This window comes from Homo sapiens, chromosome 4 (genome assembly GCF_000001405.40).
Source record: "Homo sapiens chromosome 4, GRCh38.p14 Primary Assembly".
Classification (NCBI taxonomy): Eukaryota; Metazoa; Chordata; class Mammalia; order Primates; family Hominidae; genus Homo; species Homo sapiens.
Genome location: NC_000004.12, coordinates 170,107,762 through 170,126,739, shown reverse-complemented (window position 1 = coordinate 170,126,739; position 18,978 = coordinate 170,107,762). Strand labels below are relative to the sequence as shown.

Here is an 18,978-nt window from a genome sequence, read left to right as displayed (position 1 = left end):
AAACCTGGGAAAAGGGCAAAATCATTACATGGGGTCGAGGGTTTGCTTGTACCTCACCAGGAGAGAATCAGCTTCCTGTCTGGGTACCACAAGACATCTTAAGCTGTTCCATGAGCCAGAATCCAAGGAAGAGGAAAAGACCTCAGAATGTCCCTGCACCCCCAGTTCATCTGATGGCTCAGATAAACATCTCTGTTGAGCAGATGGAAACCAGTAAAACTCACCAAGCAACTCCACTGACCTGGGGGCAGATGAAGAGACTAGCTCACATTGCAGAAGAGAAACTGAGGTCTCAGAACAAGCTGCTGACCATGAGTAATCTAATGGTAGCTATGATGGTGGTAATCTCCCTGGTGGTGAGTCTCCCCATAGCTGAGGCAGATCAAAATTACACACAGCCCTAGCAGAGGCTCTCCATGAGAGTCTTGCCCCTGTAGCAAACTTCTGCCTGGACATCGAGGTGTTTCCAGACATCCTCTGAAATCTAAGCAAAGGTTCCCAAACTCCAATTCTTGACTTCTGTGCACTGGCAGGCTCAACACCACATGGAAGCTGCCAAGGCTTGAGGCTTTCACCCTCTGAAGCCATGGCCCAAACTCTACATTGGCCCCTTTCAGCCATGGCTGGAGTGGCTAGGCCACAGGGCACCAGGTCCCTAGGCTGCACACAGCATGGGGGGCTTGGGCCCAACCCACAAAACCACATTTTCCTCCTAGGTCTCTGGGCCTGTGATAGGATGGGTTACCATGAAGGTCTCTGATATGCCCTGGAGACATTTCCCCCATTCTTTTGGTAATTAACATTCAGCTCCTCATTACTTATGCAAATTTCTGCAGCTAGCTTGAATTTCTCCTCATAAAATGGGATTTTCTTTTCAATCACATTGTCAGGCTGCAAATTTCTGAACTTTTTTGCTCTGCTTCTCTTATAAAACGGAATGCCTTTAACAGCACCCAAGTCACATCTTGAATGTTTTTCTGGTTAGAAGTTTCTTCCACTAGATACCCTAAATCCTCTCTCTCAAGTTCAAAGTTTCACAAATCCCTAGGGCAGGAGAAAATGCTGCCAGTCTCTTTGCTAAAACATAACAAGAGTCACCTTTGCTCCAGTTCCCAACTTCCTCATCTGAGACCACCTCAGCCTGGATTTCATTGCCAATATCATTATCAGCATTTTAGCCAAAGCCATTCAACAAGTCTCTAGAGAGTTACAAACTTTCCCACATTTCCCTTTCTTCTTCTGAGCCCTCCACAATGTTCCAACCTCTTCTTGTTACCCAATTCCAAAGTTGCTTCCACATTTTTGGATATCTTTTCAGCAGCACCCCACTTCTAGTACTAATTTATTATATTATTCTGCTTTCATACTGCTGATGAAGACATACCCAAGGCTGGGCAATTTACAAAAGAAAGAGGTTTAACTGGACTCACAGTTTCATGTAGCTGGGGAGGCCTCACAATCATGGTGGAAGGCAAGGAGGAGCAAGTCACATCTCACATGGGTGGCAACAGAGAGCTTGTGCAGAGAAACTTGTGTTTTAAAACCATCAGATCTCATGAAACTCATTCACTATCACAAAAACAGTGCAAGAAAGACCCGCACCCATAATTCGAACACCTCCCACTGGGTTCCTCCTATGACATGTGTGAACTGTGTGAATTACAACTCAAGATGAGATGTGGGTGGGGACAAATCCAAACCATATCACTATGTAACCCAAATGCCACAAACAGTGTAAAATAATTGAAGTGCTTACTTGTCCTAGAAATATTTATGGAGTACCACAGATGTTCCAGGAACTAAGGAAAGCAGTTCATTCTGAAAAATGAAAGGAAATAAATTAAAAAGGCATGAGGGCCAAATGTTCTTGGCCCCCTAAATGACTGCTAAAAAATCACTGACAGGAGGCAGATTGATTAATGAAAGAAAGGGCATACAAATTTATTTAACAATATATAGAAGGGAGCCTTCAGAATGAAGACCCAACATCCCAATGAGTTACAGACACTTACATACCATCCTGAGGCCACTGTAAAGAAAGCACACTCAGAGGATTGCCAGAAACAGCTAAATCAGCTTCAGTGGCAAGAGGTGTTAAGAGAGAAAAGAAGAAGTTTGGCTAGCAAAGATGGCCTTGTTATGTGGAGGAAGCCCCCTTCAGAGGAAACAGATGGTAAATGTTTCCTTTCAGACTTTAAAAGATGTCAGACTGTCAGTCTCTCCTGGACCCAGGGAAAGGAATAGGAAGGGGAGGGAGGCATGGCTGCATTAAGGGAGATTCTCTGCAGATGCAAATTTTCCCCACTTAAGATAGTTTTGCAATGCCACCTCTAATAGGATGGCCAAGAGGCAGCCATTTCAAAATACATCAAATAAATATATTTGGGGGTAAAATATTTTAATTTCCTTCAGTCTCCTATTTGCAATTTAAAATAAGTTTCATATCAAAAACCAAGCTGATAGCTTTGGAGAGATTTGATCTAGAGATTGTTAGACAGAGATAGAGAAAGGAGTAGAAAGACAAACTGAGATAAATAGAAAGGAGCAAATTTAAATATATCTTCCCATATCTTCTTTAGTCAGTCTCTGAATACTGAGAATAGATGAGTTCCATTAAACAACTGTGTCCCATTCTGAGAGGTGGCATTGCAGATGGGCTAGACCTCTATATATGATATAGGCAATAGGATCTCTAAAAAAGGTATTTCTATAAAAGCAGAAGAATAAACAAGGTTAATGGTTGGAGCAGTCTATAGACTGCTTTCCTAAGGTCTCTGAGGCATCTTCAGATTGCAACGACAATCTGACAAATTCTTCTGGATTGTAATTCAAACCGGGCATTCAGGCTAACTTTCTGAGAAGTCTTTACATTAGCAAGCAGGCTTGAAGCTTGTTTATATATAAGTTGCTGTTATTTTCTCCTGGAGTTTAAGTTGTATAGCTTCAGTTTGCAGAGCTTTAAGAAAAGCAGAGTTTTAATTTCTAGTGATTTCAAGTTAAAAAAAATTGGAGGGCAGAAATTGAACATTTTAGCTTGGCAACTTCAAAAAAAAAAAATTAGGATCCAGTCCAAATGGTAGAAAATAATCAAAACTGAATGCAATGGATAAGGTTAAAATCCAATAACAGTTATACCATAGTTTCCTTTGAAACATAATTTTTCTGTCCCCAATCTTCCAATATTACTAAAGACAAAATCATAGTAGGATCAATTTCTTAGCAAAATTAGTTTAGTCTTATTATACTTGGCCTGATTATTTGCATAAAGTGCAGGCAGAATAATTATTTGTCATACAGACTGTTGTAAGTTGGCTTTTCTGGAATCTTTTTTCATAAAGAATCACAAATTAGACCTTTTAAAAGTCATGAACACAGCCAAGTATTTATCCCTGCAGATACCTGTATGAATTGGGAAACTTCTCTCTTCTTGAAATCCCAAAATAACTTGGGGTTCCTGGGCCTGTGAGAAAGTGACATTCTTTACTTACCACAAGTCAGGAACATGTAAGGAAATCTGTAAAGGAACTACATAGAAAATGTTTGAGGTCAGTTTTTCCAAAGAACTTTTATCAGATCTATAAGTCAATCTCAATTCCTCACAGAAATCTGCTCATATCTGAAAATATACCCTTCCAATTAAAGCCTTGGTAAAAGAGCCAGTGCCTCCAACTGTGTCCTGTTACAAAAGAAAATAGATCTTACTGAATTTATGCAAATAACTATATTACCATAAGTTAAGAATACTCACAAATAGCTTTCAAATTCTGGAAAAATCAAGTAGAAAGAAAGAAAAGTGTTTCAAATTTTGCTCTAATCAATTGTTAAAAGCTGTAAGTAACTCAAAAAAGATTTTCTTGATTCTGTAAAACAAAAAGAATTAGCAATGTTTCAAACACAAGAAGTCATAAAAAAATTATTTCAGTCTTCTATTAGCTCAGTCCATGCAATTGTAACTGCCCCATGGGTTCACCTTGCCTGCTGCCTAGACAGAGCCAATTTATTGAGACAGGAGAATTGCAATGGAGATGGAGTAATTCACTCAGACCAAGCTGTGTGGGGAGACCAGAATTTTATTATTACTCGAATCGGTCTCCCCAAAAATGAAAACTTGGGATTGGAGTTTTTAAGGATAATTTGGTGGGTAGATGATTGGGAAGTGAGGAGTACTGATAGATTGGGCTGGAGATGAAATCATAAGGGGCTGAGATGAGTTCTTCTTGCTGACATCTGTTCCTGTGTGGGATTGCAGAACTGGTTGAGCCAGATTACTGGTCTGGGCCATGTCAGCTGGTACATCAGAATGCAGGGTTTGTGAAATATCTTAAGCACTGATCTTAGGTTTTACAACAGTGATGTTAATCCCAGGAGCAATTTGAGGAGGTTGAGACTCTTGCAGCCAGAGGCTGCAAGGCTCCTAAATGGTAATTTCTAATCTTGTAGCTGATTTGTTAGTCCTACAAAGGCAGACTGATTCATAGGCAAAAAGGGAGTTTTTTCAGGAAAGGGCTATTAACAGTTTTGTTTCAGGATTAAACTATAAACTAAATCCTTTCCCAAGGCTAACTTGGCCTACACTCAGTTTCATGCACGTCCGTGTGAAGAGACCACCAAACAGGCTTTGTGTGAGCAATAAAGCTTTTAATCACCTGGGTGCAGGTGGGCTGAGTCCGAAAAGAGAGTCAGTGAAGGGAGATAGGAGTGGGGCCATTTTATAAGATTTGGGTAGATAAAGGAAAATTACAGTCAAATGGGGGTTGTTCTCTGTCAGGCAGAGTAGGGGTCACAAGGTGCTCAGTAGGGGAGCTTTTGAGCCAGGATGAGCCAGGAGAAGGAATTTCATAAGACAATGTCATCAGTTAAGGCAGGAACAGGCCATTTTCACTTCTTTTGTAGTGGAATGTCATCAGTTAAGGCAGGAACCAGCCATCTGGATGTGTATGTGCAGGTCATAGGGGATATGATGGCTTAGCTTGGGCTCAGAGGTCTGACATTCCTGTCTTCTTATATTAATAAGAAAAATAAAATGAAATAGTGGTAAAGTGTTGGGATGGTGAAAACTTTTTGGGGATGGTATGGAGAGATAATGGGCGATGCTTCTCAGGGCTGCTTCAAGCGGGATTAGGGGTGGCGTGGGAACCTAGAGTGGGAGAGATTAAGCTGAAGGAAGATTTTGTGGTAAGGGATGATATTGTGGGGTTGTTAGAAGAAACATTTGTCATGTAGAATTATTGGTGATGGCCTGGATATGGTTTTGTATGAATGGAAAAACTAAATGGAATAAGAGAAGGAGAAAAACAGGTATAAAAGGTCTAAGAATTGGGAGGACCCAGGACATCTGATCACAGAGTGCCTAAGGAGATTCAACATAGTCCTGCCAGCAAAGATTATTTATTTACTTCAAGAGTTAAGAGTGGAAGTTTGGGGATAGCACCAGGAGATATCAGCTGTGATGGCTTGGAGAAACAGTGTAAACTGGCAGTGTAAACAAGAGCAGGGCATGTATGAGTAGTTGAGAACAGTGAATAGGAGTATGACTAGACAGAAGACAGTAGGGATGAAAAGTTTTTTGGGGGGCATAGTCTAAGTTGGTCTGGTGTCTGGAATGAGACTTGGGCCTAATGAAAAGGAGCGTCTATACAGGAGCTCAAATGGGCTGTACCCTGTAGCATTCTGAGGACAGGTCTGACTTCTGGGAAGGGAAAGTGCTAAAAGTATTGTCCAGTCCTTTTTAACTTGGTGGCTGAGCTTGGTGAGGTGTGTTTTTAAAAGACCATTAGTCTGTTCTACTTTTCCTGAAGATGGAGGACTGTAAGGGATATAAAGTTTTCACTGAATACTAAGAGCCTGAAAAACTGCTTGGCTGATTTGACTAATAAAGTCTGGTCTATTATCAGACTGTATAGAGGTGGGAAGGCTAAACTGAGGAATTATGTCTGACAGAAGGGAAGAAATGACTGCGGTGGCCTTCTCAGACCCTGTAGGAAAGGCCTCTACCTATCCAGTGAAAGTGTCTACCTAGACTAAGAGGTATTTTAGTTATCGGACTCGGGGCTTATTGAGTAAAGCTAATTTGCCAGTCCTGGGTGGGGGCAAATCCTCGAGCTTGATGTGTAGGGAAGGGAGGGGGCCTGAATAACCCCTGAGGAGTAGTAGAATAGCAGATAGAACACTGAGAAGTTATTTCTTTGAGGATAGATTTCCACGATGGAAAGAAATGAGAGGTTCTAAAAGGCAGGCTAGTGGCTTGTTCTATAGCATAGTCTGCCTTTGCTGGTGTGTGGCAATTAGGCCTGTTGGAACTGCCATCAATAAATCAAGTGTGATCAGGGTGAGGAACAGGAAGGAAGGAAAAATGGGGAAATGGGGTGAATGTCAGGTGGATCAGAGAGATACGGTCATGGGGGTCAGGTCTGGTATCAGGAATAATGTGGGAGGCCGGATTGAAGTCTGGGCCAGGAACAATGGTAATTGTGGGACTTAACAAAGAGTGAGTACAGCTGAAGGAGCTGGGAAGCAGAAAGTATATGTGTCAGGTATGAGGAAGAAAATAGATTTTGGAAGTGATGAGAAATGTAGAGAGTAAGTTGAGCATAGTTTGTGATTTTGAGGGCCTCTAAAAGTACCAGGGCGGCAGCAGCCACTGCACGGAGACATGATGGCTAGGCTAAAACAGTAAGGTCAAGTTGTTTGGACTGAAAGGCTACAGGGTGCAGTCCTGGCTCTTGCGTAAGAATTCTGACCACACTAACCATGCCTAGGAAGGAAAGGAGTTGTTGTTTTATAAGGGATTGAGGTTTGGGAGATTAATCAGACATGATCAGCAGGGAGAGCACATGTGTTTTTATGAGAATTATGCTGAGATAGGTAACAGATAAGGAAGAAATTTAGGCTTGACTGAAGTAATGGGGGCCGTCTGTGAAGCTTTGTGGCAGTACAGCCCAGGTAATTTGCTGAGCCTCATGGGTGTCAGGGTCAGTCCAAGTGAAAGCAAAGAGAGGCTGGGACGACGGGTGCAAAGGAATAGTAAAGAAAGCATGTTTGAGATCCAGAACAGAATAATGGATTGTGGAGGGAGGTATTGAGGGTAGGAGAGTATATGGGTTTGGCACCATGGGGTGGATAGGCAAAACAATTTGGTTGATAAGGCATAGATCTTGAACTAACTTGTAAGGCTTGTCTGGTTTTAGGACAGGTAAAATGGGGGAATTGTAAGAAGAGTTTATACGCTTTAAAAGGCCATGCTGTAGCAGGCGAGTGATAACAGGCTTTAATCCTTTCAAAGCATGCTGTGGGATGGGATATTGGCATTGAGCGGGGTAAGGGTGATTAGGCTTTAATGAGATGGTAAGGGGTGCATGATCGGTCACCAAGGAGGGAGTAGAGGTATCTTATAGTTGTGGGTTAAGGTTGGGGAATACAAGAGGAGGACACAAAGGAGGTTTTGGATTGGGAAGAAGGGCAGTAATGAGATGTAGCTGTAATCCAGGAATAGTCAGGGAAGCAGATAATTTAGTTAAAGTGTCTCAGCCTAATAAGGGAACTGGGCAGGTGGGGATAATTAAAAGGAGTGCTTAAAAGAGTATGGTCTAAGTTGGCACCAGAGTTGGGGAGTTTTAAGAGGTTTGGAAGCCTGGCCGTCAATACCCACAACAGTTATGGAGGCAAGGGAAACAGGCACTTGAAAAGAAGGTAATGTGGAGTGGGTAGCCTCCGTATTGATTAAGAAGGGGATGGACTTACCTTCCACTGTGAGAGTTACCCAAAGCTCGGCATCCGTGATGGTCTAGGGGGCTTCCGAGGTGATTGGGCAGCATCAGTCTTCAGCTGCTAAGCCAAGAAGATCTGGGAAGGAGTCAGAGAGCCTTGGGCCAGAGTTCCAGGGGCTCTGGGAGTGGCTGCCAGGTGAGTTGGACAGTCTGATTTCCAGTGGGGTCCTGCACAGATGGGACACGGCTTAGGAGGAATCCTGGGCTGCAGGCATTCCTTGGCCTGGTGGCCAGATTTCTGGCACTTGTAGCAAGCTCCTGGGGGAGGAGGTTCTGGAGGAAGGCCTGGCCAATGCAGCTCAGGCGTTTGGAAGTTCTTGTGTGCTGGAGATGTGGCTGGGGTTTGTCTCACAGTGGAGGCAAGAATTGCGACTTTTTTCTATTATTGTACACCTTGAAGGCAAAGTTAATTAAATCCTCTTATGGGGTTTGAGGGCTGGAATTTAATTTTTGAAGTTTTATGTAATGTCGGGAGCAGATTGGATAATAAAATGCATTTTGAGAATAAGACGGCCTTTTGACATTTTAGGATCTAGGGCTGTAAAGTGTCTCAGGGTTGCTGCCAAACGAGTCATGAACTGGGCTAGATTTTTATATTTGATGAAAAACAGCCTAAACGCTATCTGATTTGGGATAAAGAAAAAGGAGCATTAACCTTGACTATGCATTTAGCTCCAGCCACCTTTTTAAGAGTAAATTGCTGGGCAGGTGGGGGAGGGCTAGTCACGGAACGAAACTGTAAGCCAGACTGGGTGTGAGAAGGGGAGGTGGTAAAAGGATTATAGAGCGGAGGAGAGAAGGCTGAGGAAGAATTGGGACCTAGCTCAGCCTGGCGAGCAGCAGCCTGGGGAGGAGGGGAGAGGTCAGATGGGTCTGTAGAAAAGGAAGATTAGAAAGACTCAGCGACGCTTGGGGTTGGGACTGAGGGGACAGGCGGGAGAGAAAGAAGGAAGATTTGGGATGAGTTGTGCTGGGCACAGACACTAGGGAGGGACCGATGTGTAAAAGAATGCCAGGATGTCAGGCACCTCAGACCATTTGCCTATTTTACAACAAGAATTATTTAGATCTTGCAGGATGGAAAAATTGAAAGTGCCATTTTCTGGCTATTTGGAACTACTGTCGAGTTTGTATTGGGGTCAAGTGGTATTGCAGAAGAAAATAAGATGCTTAGGTTTTAGGTCAGGTGAGAGTTGAAGAGGTTTTAAGTTCTTAGGAACACAGGCTAAGGGAGAAGAAGGAGAAATGGAGGGTGGAAAGTTGCCCATAGTGAAGGAGGCAAGCCCAGAGAAAAGAGAGAGTAGAGACACGGAGGGAAGGGGTTCAGGGGTTCTTACCCTCCAGAAAAGCAGAGAAGGGTTTGGGGCACAGAAATACAAGGTCGGGGTGTGGAAATAAGGGATTGGGGTACAGAGATATAAGAGGTTGGGGCACGGAAATAAGGGATTGGGGTGCAGAGATATAAGAGGTTGGGGCGCGGAAATAAGGGATCAGGGCACAGAGATATAAGAGGTCAAAGCGTGGAAATAAGGGATCGGGGCACAGAGATATAAGAGGTCAGAGCGCGGAAATAAGGGATCGGGCACAGAGATATAAGAGGTCAGAGCGCGGAAATAAGGGATCGGGGTGCAGAGATATGAGGTTGGGGTACTTGCCCCTCCCCCAGAAAAGCAGGGCTTGCCGCTAAGGGTGAAGGACCAAGGCAGGCGTCCCTGCGTGGTCTGACACCTCTGAAACCTGGGTGAATAATCAGAGAGGCATCCCTGCAATGATTAAACACCAAGGGAAGGCTGCCTTCCCTAGTCCGTGACCGGTGCCGGAGTTTTGTGTCCATGGATAAAACGTGTCTCCTTTGTCTCTACCAGAAAATGAAAGGAATTGAAATTAAGAGAAGGGAGAGATTGAAGTGTGGCACCAAGATTGAAAGGAGAAAGAGGTTGAGGGATAGTGAGGGAGGTTGGAGAAGAGAGTAAAAAGAGGCCACTTACCGGATTTGAAATTGGTGAGATGTTTCTTGGGCTGGTTGGTCTGAGGACCTGAGATCATAGGTGGATCTTTCTCACAGAACAAAGAGTAGGAGGACGGGGGATTGATCTCCCAAGGGAGGTCCCCCATCCGAGTCATGGCACCAAATTTCATGCACGTCCGTGTGAAGAGACCACCAAATAGGCTTTGTGTGAGCAATAAAGCTTTTAATCACCTGGGTGCAGGCGGGCTGAGTCCGAAAAGAGAGTCAGCGAAGGGAGATAGGGGTGGGGCCGTTTTATAAGATTTGGGTAGATAAAGGAAAATTATAGTCAAAGGGGGGTCATTCTCTGGCAAGCAGAGTAGTGGTCACAAGGTGCTCAGTAGGGGAGCTTTTGAGTCAGGATGAGCCAGGAGAAGGAATTTCACAAGACAATGTCATCAGTTAAGGCAGGAACAGGCCATTTTCACTTCTTTTGTGGTGGAATGCCATCAGTTAAGGCAGGAACCAGCCACCTGGATGTGTACGTGCAGGTCACAGGAGACATGATGGCTTAGCTTGGGCTCAGAGGCCTGACACTCAGGAATGAACAAGAACAGCTTAGAGGTTAGAAGCAAGATAGAGTCTGTTAGGTCTGATCTCTTTCACTGTCACAATTTCTTCAGTTATAATTTTTGCAAAGGCAGTTTCACGGTTTGCCCCTGTTCTGCTCAGTATTGGGCCAGCAAGCCTCATGAACACATCATGAGTCCTAGATGCTTTTTTCTCTATTCCAATGGCAAATTTCTAAAGTTATCAGAAACCTGCATTCAAGAGCATCTGTAAGAATCCTTTAACTATAATTAGTTTATAATTAAGCTGTCTTTTTAAAAAGATCACAGTAAAATAATTTTAGATAACAAAAGTCTTAGAGCAGTCATGGTCAAAGACACAATTGACAAAGAAATTTGGTTATTTCTGTGGTATATAACAATTTAACATAATAATTATAATTACTACTGATAACGTATACTAATATGTATCAGAATTACAGAAATCTCACAATTTTGGAACACATACTAATAACACATTTACATAAATATAAACCAAAAAAAGTTGAACACAGTTTTATTTTTGACAATGTTTCCTGTATGATTTTAACATATTAATTAAGCTAAATCTCTCTCTCTTAGACTTCTATAAAGTTAGTTTGAGGTCAAAAGTTTGAATCTAGAATTTGATTTTGGAATAGTTGTCAAATATTGAAGGTTTAGAACACTATATCACAAAATAGAATCATGAGTCATTGTAAAATAAATCAATCATTTACCCAAAATAATAACTTAAAATTTTCAAAAAGCAAAAACCTTTACTCTTTGAGAATGGAGACTTACTTCCCAAACAATAAGACCTAATAGACACAGCATGAGGCCAACTAAATCTGTCTCTCGCTCTTTTGCAATTTACTCAAAAGGTAAACAGAAATCTTTTACTATCTCTTAATATTAAACAAAAATTTTGTTCAAGAGAAAACCAATTTTTACCTTTGTGTAGTGTATTATTAGCACTAAATCTAATTTTAATAAAACCAAATGAACAAATCTAACTTTAATGAACTTGGCCATAATATAAGGTTGTCATAAGCCTTCTATAACCTTTTATAATTTCCTGTCAAAAAGCAGATAGATCAAGACTCCAAGAAAACTCTGTTATTCAGACACAGCAGCCCAGATACTGGCTCTCCATCACTGTGCTTTTTATTTTAATGCTTAATTTATAGAAAAACTAAATAATCCCCTTCAAATTTTAGCAAACTCGTTCACATACAGAATTCCTTTTACAAGATCAATCTTTTCTCAAACTTTCCCCAACTTGCTTAAACACCTTCCATTTTGTTCTATTTATAACTTAAAAGAATCCTTAAAAACCCTTAAACTAGACAAAATTCCTTCCCCTTATTAAAAAAAAAAAAAACATTCTCATGCCTTCTTTTAACTTTTTTTGCCAAAAATACATCTTACTTTTCTTACACACTTTGTATATATCTAGTAACGTTCATTACATGTATTAATTGTAATGTTAATTCTCAGTAACTCTTATTTTAGTGAAAAAACCTAGTAAGTAAGCAATTTTAATTATGTACCAGGTACATAACCCAGAGCAAAGAACGATGCCTGGAGCTAGGCTTCATATCCTAAAGGCACAAATCTAAGCACGTAAGTTACAGACAAGTTAAGCAAGTATCAGGAGCAAAGTTTTGCATCTTAAAACATCAGAGACAGTGACTAATTCAGGTCAAATGTCTAAATTCTGAACATGCTTCTATTTTATTTTACCGATAATTTTAAAACTATCTTTATTTACCAAAAATTACTAAAATCATATGAACTTGAAAAGCATTTAGGATTATCTACTTTATTTATGAGTAAGTCAATTTAAAACCCATGCAGACAGTATACAGACAGACATATACCCATGTACACATAAAGATTATAGTAACATAAAGACTTTATAGTTTTTATTTTACTTTAAGTTCCAGGGTACATGTGCAGGAAGTGCAGATTTGTTACATAGGTAAACGTGTGCCATGGTGGTTTGCTGCAGCAATAGACTCATCACCTAAGTATTAAGCCCAAAATGCATTAGCTGTTTTTCCTGATGCTCTCCCTCCCACAACCACTTCCCCATAGGCCCCAGTGTGCATCATTCCCCTCCCTGTGTCCATGTGTTCTCATTGTTCAGCTCCCATTTATAAGTGAGAACATGCAGTATTTGGTTTTCTGTTCCTGCATTAGTTTGCTGAGGATAATGTCTTCCAGCTCCATCCATGTCCCTGCAAAGGACATGATCCTTTTTTGGCTACATAGCATTCCATGGTGTATATGTACCACATTTTCTTTATCCAGGACTTTATAGTTTGATTTTAAAATTTTAGCCATAAGATAGATACACTCACTAGTCTAAAAAGACAGTTGGATTAAATTGTGAAAATGTTAAAATTTATTTATCATGGCCATGACTAATGCCCTCACTGAGTTTTGGAGAAAACAAGATAGCAAATTTACATCTCAAATCAGAGAGAGAGAGTTTGAGTGTGTTAGAGGAAGTTTTAAAATGGATGTCGGTCAGGCACAGTGGCTCATACCTGTAATCACAGCACTTTGGGAGGCCAAGGTGGGCAGATCACTTGAGGTCAGGAGTTCAAGAGCAGCCTAGCCAACATGGAGAAATCCTGTCTCTACTATAAATACAAAAATTAGCCAGGCATGGTGGTGAGCACCTGTAATCCCAGCTACTCGGTGTCTGAGGCACAAGAATCACTTGAGCACAGGAGGCAGAGGTTGGAGGAAGGCAAGATCATGCCACTGCACTCCAGCCTGGGCAACAGAGCAAGACCCTGTCTCAAAAAATAAAATTAAATAATAAAATGGATGTCAGGACAGCACAAAATCATAGAACTCTATCATAGTATTTTGTCAGACCAATTTTATTTAGATAGGTGTTTTTTAATTTACTATCTTTTAACTGGACCACTGAGCCCAGAGCAGAGCCCACACTGAATTCTGAATCCCCAAAAAGAGAAAAATACCACAGGGCCAGGTCACATAATATTTTTAGAGCACATTTTGTCATGAAGACATTTGTCTAAGTGTTTAAACCATGTCCTTTCTTATCTTAAACACACAGAGTATCCCCTGTAGTAATAACTGTTTGCTCTAAGCAACTACCATTAGCCATCTCAGAAAGTATATCTATTACAAACACCAATGTCAAAAATTTTTTCATAATGCAAAGTAATTTTCAATTCCCCAAAAGCCAAAAAGATTAGGGAATGCAATACAAAAGAGAGAAAAGCTTTTAGATCTGAGTGGAATCTGTCCGTTTACAACTCTTGGGATTTCATGAAGAAAATCAGAGTTTCCTTCCAGACACAGGAGTCTGGTACATTTTCCATTTTTCCCAGGGGATCCTGGGCAGTTAGAAATTCCTTTTGTATTTTTAGGTCCCTCGTGTGGCATACAGGATAGAAAGTGGGAGGAAGATAGGAAGAAGTAAATGGTGGAACAGACAGAATTCACTGAGAAGTTTATACAGAGAGAGAACAGAGGCTTTAAAACAATATAGATACACATGTAGCCTAAATACCTGTTTTAATTAAGTTGACTTTTGACTACAGAACTCTTTAAAAATTCTTTCAAATCTCTTATTATCAGATTTTAGTCAGGACAAACAGCTGATATTTCTGATTTTTGAACTTCTTTACCAAAGGTAACTTCCTAGGTGAAATCAATAAGCCTAAACTAAGGCTATGACTTAACTATGGCAAATTTTTCTCAAAAAAATTTCTTAAGGCTAGCCATAACACTATTACATGTCTTTTTAAAAATTTAACCTTTTCATCAATGGTTTAGAATAACAGGTCTCAAAAATCTTTCTTTTAATTTATCTTCTGGCCATTGGCAATTAGAATTTTCAATGGTGTACTTTATTCCAATAGCAACTAAATTCAAAAGCCTCTTTAAAGCCCAAGTGGTAATTTTTCAGGTTTTACATTCCTGGAGAGGGCATGAAGGAGACATCCTCATGACTCCCAAAAATCCACTCTGAAAAATAGAGTTAAGATAGACAAAAGATCACAAAAGCTCCATAGAGATGGGTCTTGTAGACAAAATTTCCCTGAGAGTGTGACACATTCAGTATAAAAAGTGTCTTGCTTAAAATATTATGTTTATCAGATTCCCAGTCTTTTCAGACTGTCCATCTAATGTGAACCAAAAAATTCATGCCCTCTATTCTAAACAATTGATGAAAAGGTTAAATTTTTAAAAAGACATTCCCAGATGGTAGAGACTAAGAGAGAGTACCCCCATGTAGCCATAAAGTCAAGTTCTTAAGGACATAAAACAAGATGAGAGGGAAACCTCATCTGATTTTTGTATCAGGGACTCACAGAAAAGTTTGTGTGAACACATGCTGGTCTATCCAGAACTGTAAAAACTGACCAGTATGCAGGGTCAGCTTGAACAGCAGGCATAAAGGGGTTCTAGGCCCATGTTCTATCCAATGCTACCCCTCTTTATGACAGAACAACACAGAAAGACAAAGGAAAATGGCAACAGAAAAGGCTATTTCTGAGAGAAAAGGGGTCACACAATATGAGTATTCATACCACAAAGTACTGAAAGTACACCAGGACACTACAATGCAAGACTAGTCAAATTCCTTTTTCCTGTTAATCAAAACCTTGCAGATGAGACTGGGATTTTTACCATCTGCTCACTGGGGTACACAGAGAAAGACAGGCCAGTAGCCTAGTTGGTAGGAAATTTTTATCCCTTTGCCAGCAGATCAGTCTCTTGTTTCTCTTCCCTGTAGCCTCTAGAAGAGAAGAGCAACTCTGATGATCATCCTGTTCTGTAGGGGACGATACGCTCTTCGCCCCCTAAATGATCACTAAAATCACTGACAGGAGGCAGATTGATTAATAAGAGAAAAGGCATACAAATGTATTTAATGTATATATAAGGGAGCCTTCGGTGTGAAGACCCAAATTCCCAGAGAGTTACGGAAACTTATATACCATCCTGAGGCCACAGTAAGAAACACAGACTCAGAGCACAGCCAGAAACAGGTGAATCAGGGTTAGTGGCAAGACAGGTTAAGACAGAAGGAAAGAAAGAAGCTTGGCTAGCAAAGATGGCCTTGTTATGTGGACGAAGCCTCCCTCAGAGGGAACAGATGGTAAATGTTTCTTTTCAGGCTTTAAAAGGTGTCAGACTGTCAGTCACTCCTGGATCCAGGGAAAGGCATAGGAAAGGGAGGGAGGCAAGGTTACTTTCATGGGGATTCTCTACAGATGCAAATTCTCCCCACTTAAGACAGCTGTGCAGTGCTATTTCTGACAGCATGGCCAAGTGGCAGCCATTTTTAAACATGTCAAAGGAATATATTTTGGGGTAAAATATTTTAATTTCCTTCAAAGAGTTTCTACCCTCAAGTAGTTTACCAACTATTGGAAAGAGAGATGCTTATAAGCAATGTTGTAGATACTGTGATAAACCTGCACAGCATTGTAAAACCAAAGAGAATGGCTGAGATGAATCTCAATTAATTTAGAGGTTTATTTTGCCAAGATTGAGGATGCACACAGGAAAAAGAGACACAAACCACAGTAAGATCTGTGGTCCATACTTTTTCCAAAGAGGATTTTGAGAGTTTCAACACTTAAAGGGGAAAAAACAGGCAGGAGGGAAAAGAAAAAAAGAGGGAGGAAGGTATGGTCACATCTTGTGAGGCTTTGATTAGAGCTCAATGAATCCACATGTTGTACATGAAAAGGAGGTGGTAGAGGGAACAATAAATTATGTATTTGTCTCATGCTTAGCGTCTCACGCTTAGTAAACCTGCACTTTACAAAAGATAAACATAGTGAGTACAGAGAAAAGTCAAATAGGGATTTGTCTCAGGTTCGGTGAGGGGATGATTTCTAGTCTCCTCTTGTCCCATGCCTGTGAAGATAAGCTGTTGATTTACATTGTCAGCATGAGAGAGGTCACCTGCAGAGATACGTGACCTTCTACCCTGTAGCTATTGGTTTAGGAACAAAAGGAAAGGCAGTTTTGTTGTTGTTGTTGTTGTTGTTTTGGCATGACTCAGTTTTCAAGCTTAATTTTTCCCCTTTGGCATAGTGAATCTAGAGTCTCACGATTTTTATTTTTCTTTCACAGGGTAATGGTAGGAAGTGGTGAATTAAAACCAGAACGGACATCTGTAGTAAACCTCACAGAAGCAGATGAATTGGAGATCAATTATTATACATGAGTCCTTTGCCCTGGTAAGTCATTTTTCTGAGTCACTGCCCTACACAGACTTCTTTTCTGTCTCCTTATGCAATCATCTCCCTCCCTTCCTCCTACTCTTTCCTATTTTACCCATCCATGTGCAACAAATTATCTCAGTTATACTCTGGAGTCTTTTAAGCAGCTCTGGTCTCAATTTTCAAACCCACGCTATTTAAAGTGGACAGCTTCTGTAAGCAATGGCTGTAATACTGTATGGGTTTCTAAAAAGCAGACCACGGAATCTCAAAAAGTGCAAACTGAAAACCTCATCCATCTCAGGACACGTCCCAGAGGCACACTGCAAGGTGGACAGTGCTGACCATGGCATGTTCATGCACTACCGATACATCATAGGTAAGATCCAGCCTGCCTTGGAAAGGCTCCACATGCTTTTCTGATTGAAACAAGAACAGACAGACACTAGGCAGGCATTCTCTCTTCACAGGAATACAGCTGCCATAGCAACCAGCAAGGAGCAATAGAAAGGAAAGAAACACCCAAATACCCTGCCAGCCAGGTCCACCAAGTCAACTCTGGAAATCAATGTAATGTGTTAACGAAGCTATTCCTGCCAACACCCACATATCCAAAAACAACAACAGCCACAACAAAATCCTAAAACCTGTCAAGTGAGAATATTTCCCTATTGTTCAACAAATCCCATTGTCTGGATGCAAGATGTTCGAATGGATTAATGCCATGGTTGCATCGTCAGTTACAATTTCTACTATTACCTCTACGAGTATACATACTCACTGAGGAGACTTGAAAAAAATACAAATAGATCATCCTGCATTTTTTAAATGTTATAATAATAAAATTCACAACATTCATGTCTGTTTCCCTTCTCCCAGATATTATTAAAATATTCTGTTATTTTAATATCTTATTCCAGGTCTTAGCAATTTTTTTCCCCAAGTTTGCTAAGCAGGCTGTTTCTCAGAGCACAATCTGAAACTTCAGTGGAATGCTGTGAACCCATATGACTAAGTCTAATATCTTGTAAAACAAAGGTACCTTAAATTGTTAATTCAGATTTTAGCCAAAACACTCCTAAATCAACATACAGCATTCTCTTCTACTATTACTAATAATAATAGTTAAACTTCATGCCTTATAAAAATTGGCTGGATGCGGCGGTGACTCACGCCTACAATTCTAGCACTTTGAGAGGCTGAGGCAGGTGGATTGCTTGAGTTCAGGAATTCAAGACTAGCCTGTGAAACATAATGAAACTCTGTCTCTACCAAAAATACAAAAATTAGCCAGGCAGGTGGCACGCACCTGTGGTCCCAGCTACCTGGGGGGTCAGGAGCACTGAGTGGGAGGATCCCTGGTGCCTGGGAAATCAAGGCTGCAGTGAGCAGTGATCACACCACTGCACTTCAGCCTGGGTGACAGAGCAAGACCCTGTCTCAAAAATAAATAAAAATTAAAACCTTTTGCATAGAGTATTTAAATTTTATTATTATTGATACAAGCCTCTTTTTGGCTTGTTCTCGTTGGTTATATCATTGATTTTGTATTTTCTTTGTCACTGATGGCCACACTTACAGAGGAAGCCCTTTTCTAGGCTGAAGGCCTTGTCGTTCCAACACTACCCCCAGATATCCTTGAAAAAGATCTTTGCTTTCCTGACCCATGCTTCAGGAGCGCCAACCCTATGGGCAAGCCCCCATTCTTTGGGTAGAGATATGCAGTGGGTTAACCATCAGACCCTGAGCTTTCTAACTATATAATAATTATTCGCCCAAAAAGATGACATCAGCGAGCCTGCCTGGGCTGTTTCAGAGACAAAGAGATTTTCAAAATCATAACTCCAATCTAATCCTTGCTTTACTAGATCCTTTCTTAACGTGTTCTAACATAAAATATTCTCAATTTCAATTTTCATTTCCTTTATTTGATACTAGATTTGACAAATGAATTGTCATATAGTCTACCTGTTTGTTGACATATTGCCCAAGATTTATTTTAAAATCTGTAACATTTTAGTGGACCAATTAGTGTTTTCAAGGCTCTTGAATTTATAAAAATTATTTTATTTAATTTATTAGCAGCAGTTCCTCTATCTGGTAGATTCAGGTTAGTCTGTTTTCCATATTAGCCTTACCTAAAACTCTTTATCTTCCTTAGAAATGATTGGGTCATGTGTACATTTTCTACAAAAATATTCATTACATATGTGAAGAATTACCCCCAAATAATTATCTATTTATGCACAATAAAGGTTCATCTTATTTTACTGTGTTTAGCTTATTAAATTTCACAGATACTATGATTTGCACAAATTAAAAATTTGTGGCAACCCTGTATCAAGCAAGTCTATCGGAGCCATTTTTCCAAGAGCATGTTCTCATTTTGTGTCTCTGTGTCACATTTTGGGTAATCCTACAATATTTCAAATGTTTACATTACTGTTATT

At 40.5% G+C, this 18,978-nt stretch overlaps 2 annotated features.

Annotated features, from left to right (window-relative positions):
- Positions 9,912 to 10,448: an enhancer, noted in NCBI's record as "OCT4-NANOG hESC enhancer chr4:171037443-171037979 (GRCh37/hg19 assembly coordinates)". NCBI's record gives its function as "activates a minimal SCP1, AML or CMV promoter by ChIP-STARR-seq in primed H9 embryonic stem cells {active_cell/tissue: H9 hESC(primed)}" and the evidence as "EXISTENCE:reporter gene assay evidence [ECO:0000049][PMID:30033119]".
- Positions 15,975 to 16,538: an enhancer, noted in NCBI's record as "OCT4-NANOG hESC enhancer chr4:171031353-171031916 (GRCh37/hg19 assembly coordinates)". NCBI's record gives its function as "activates a minimal SCP1, AML or CMV promoter by ChIP-STARR-seq in naive and primed H9 embryonic stem cells {active_cell/tissue: H9 hESC(naive and primed)}" and the evidence as "EXISTENCE:reporter gene assay evidence [ECO:0000049][PMID:30033119]".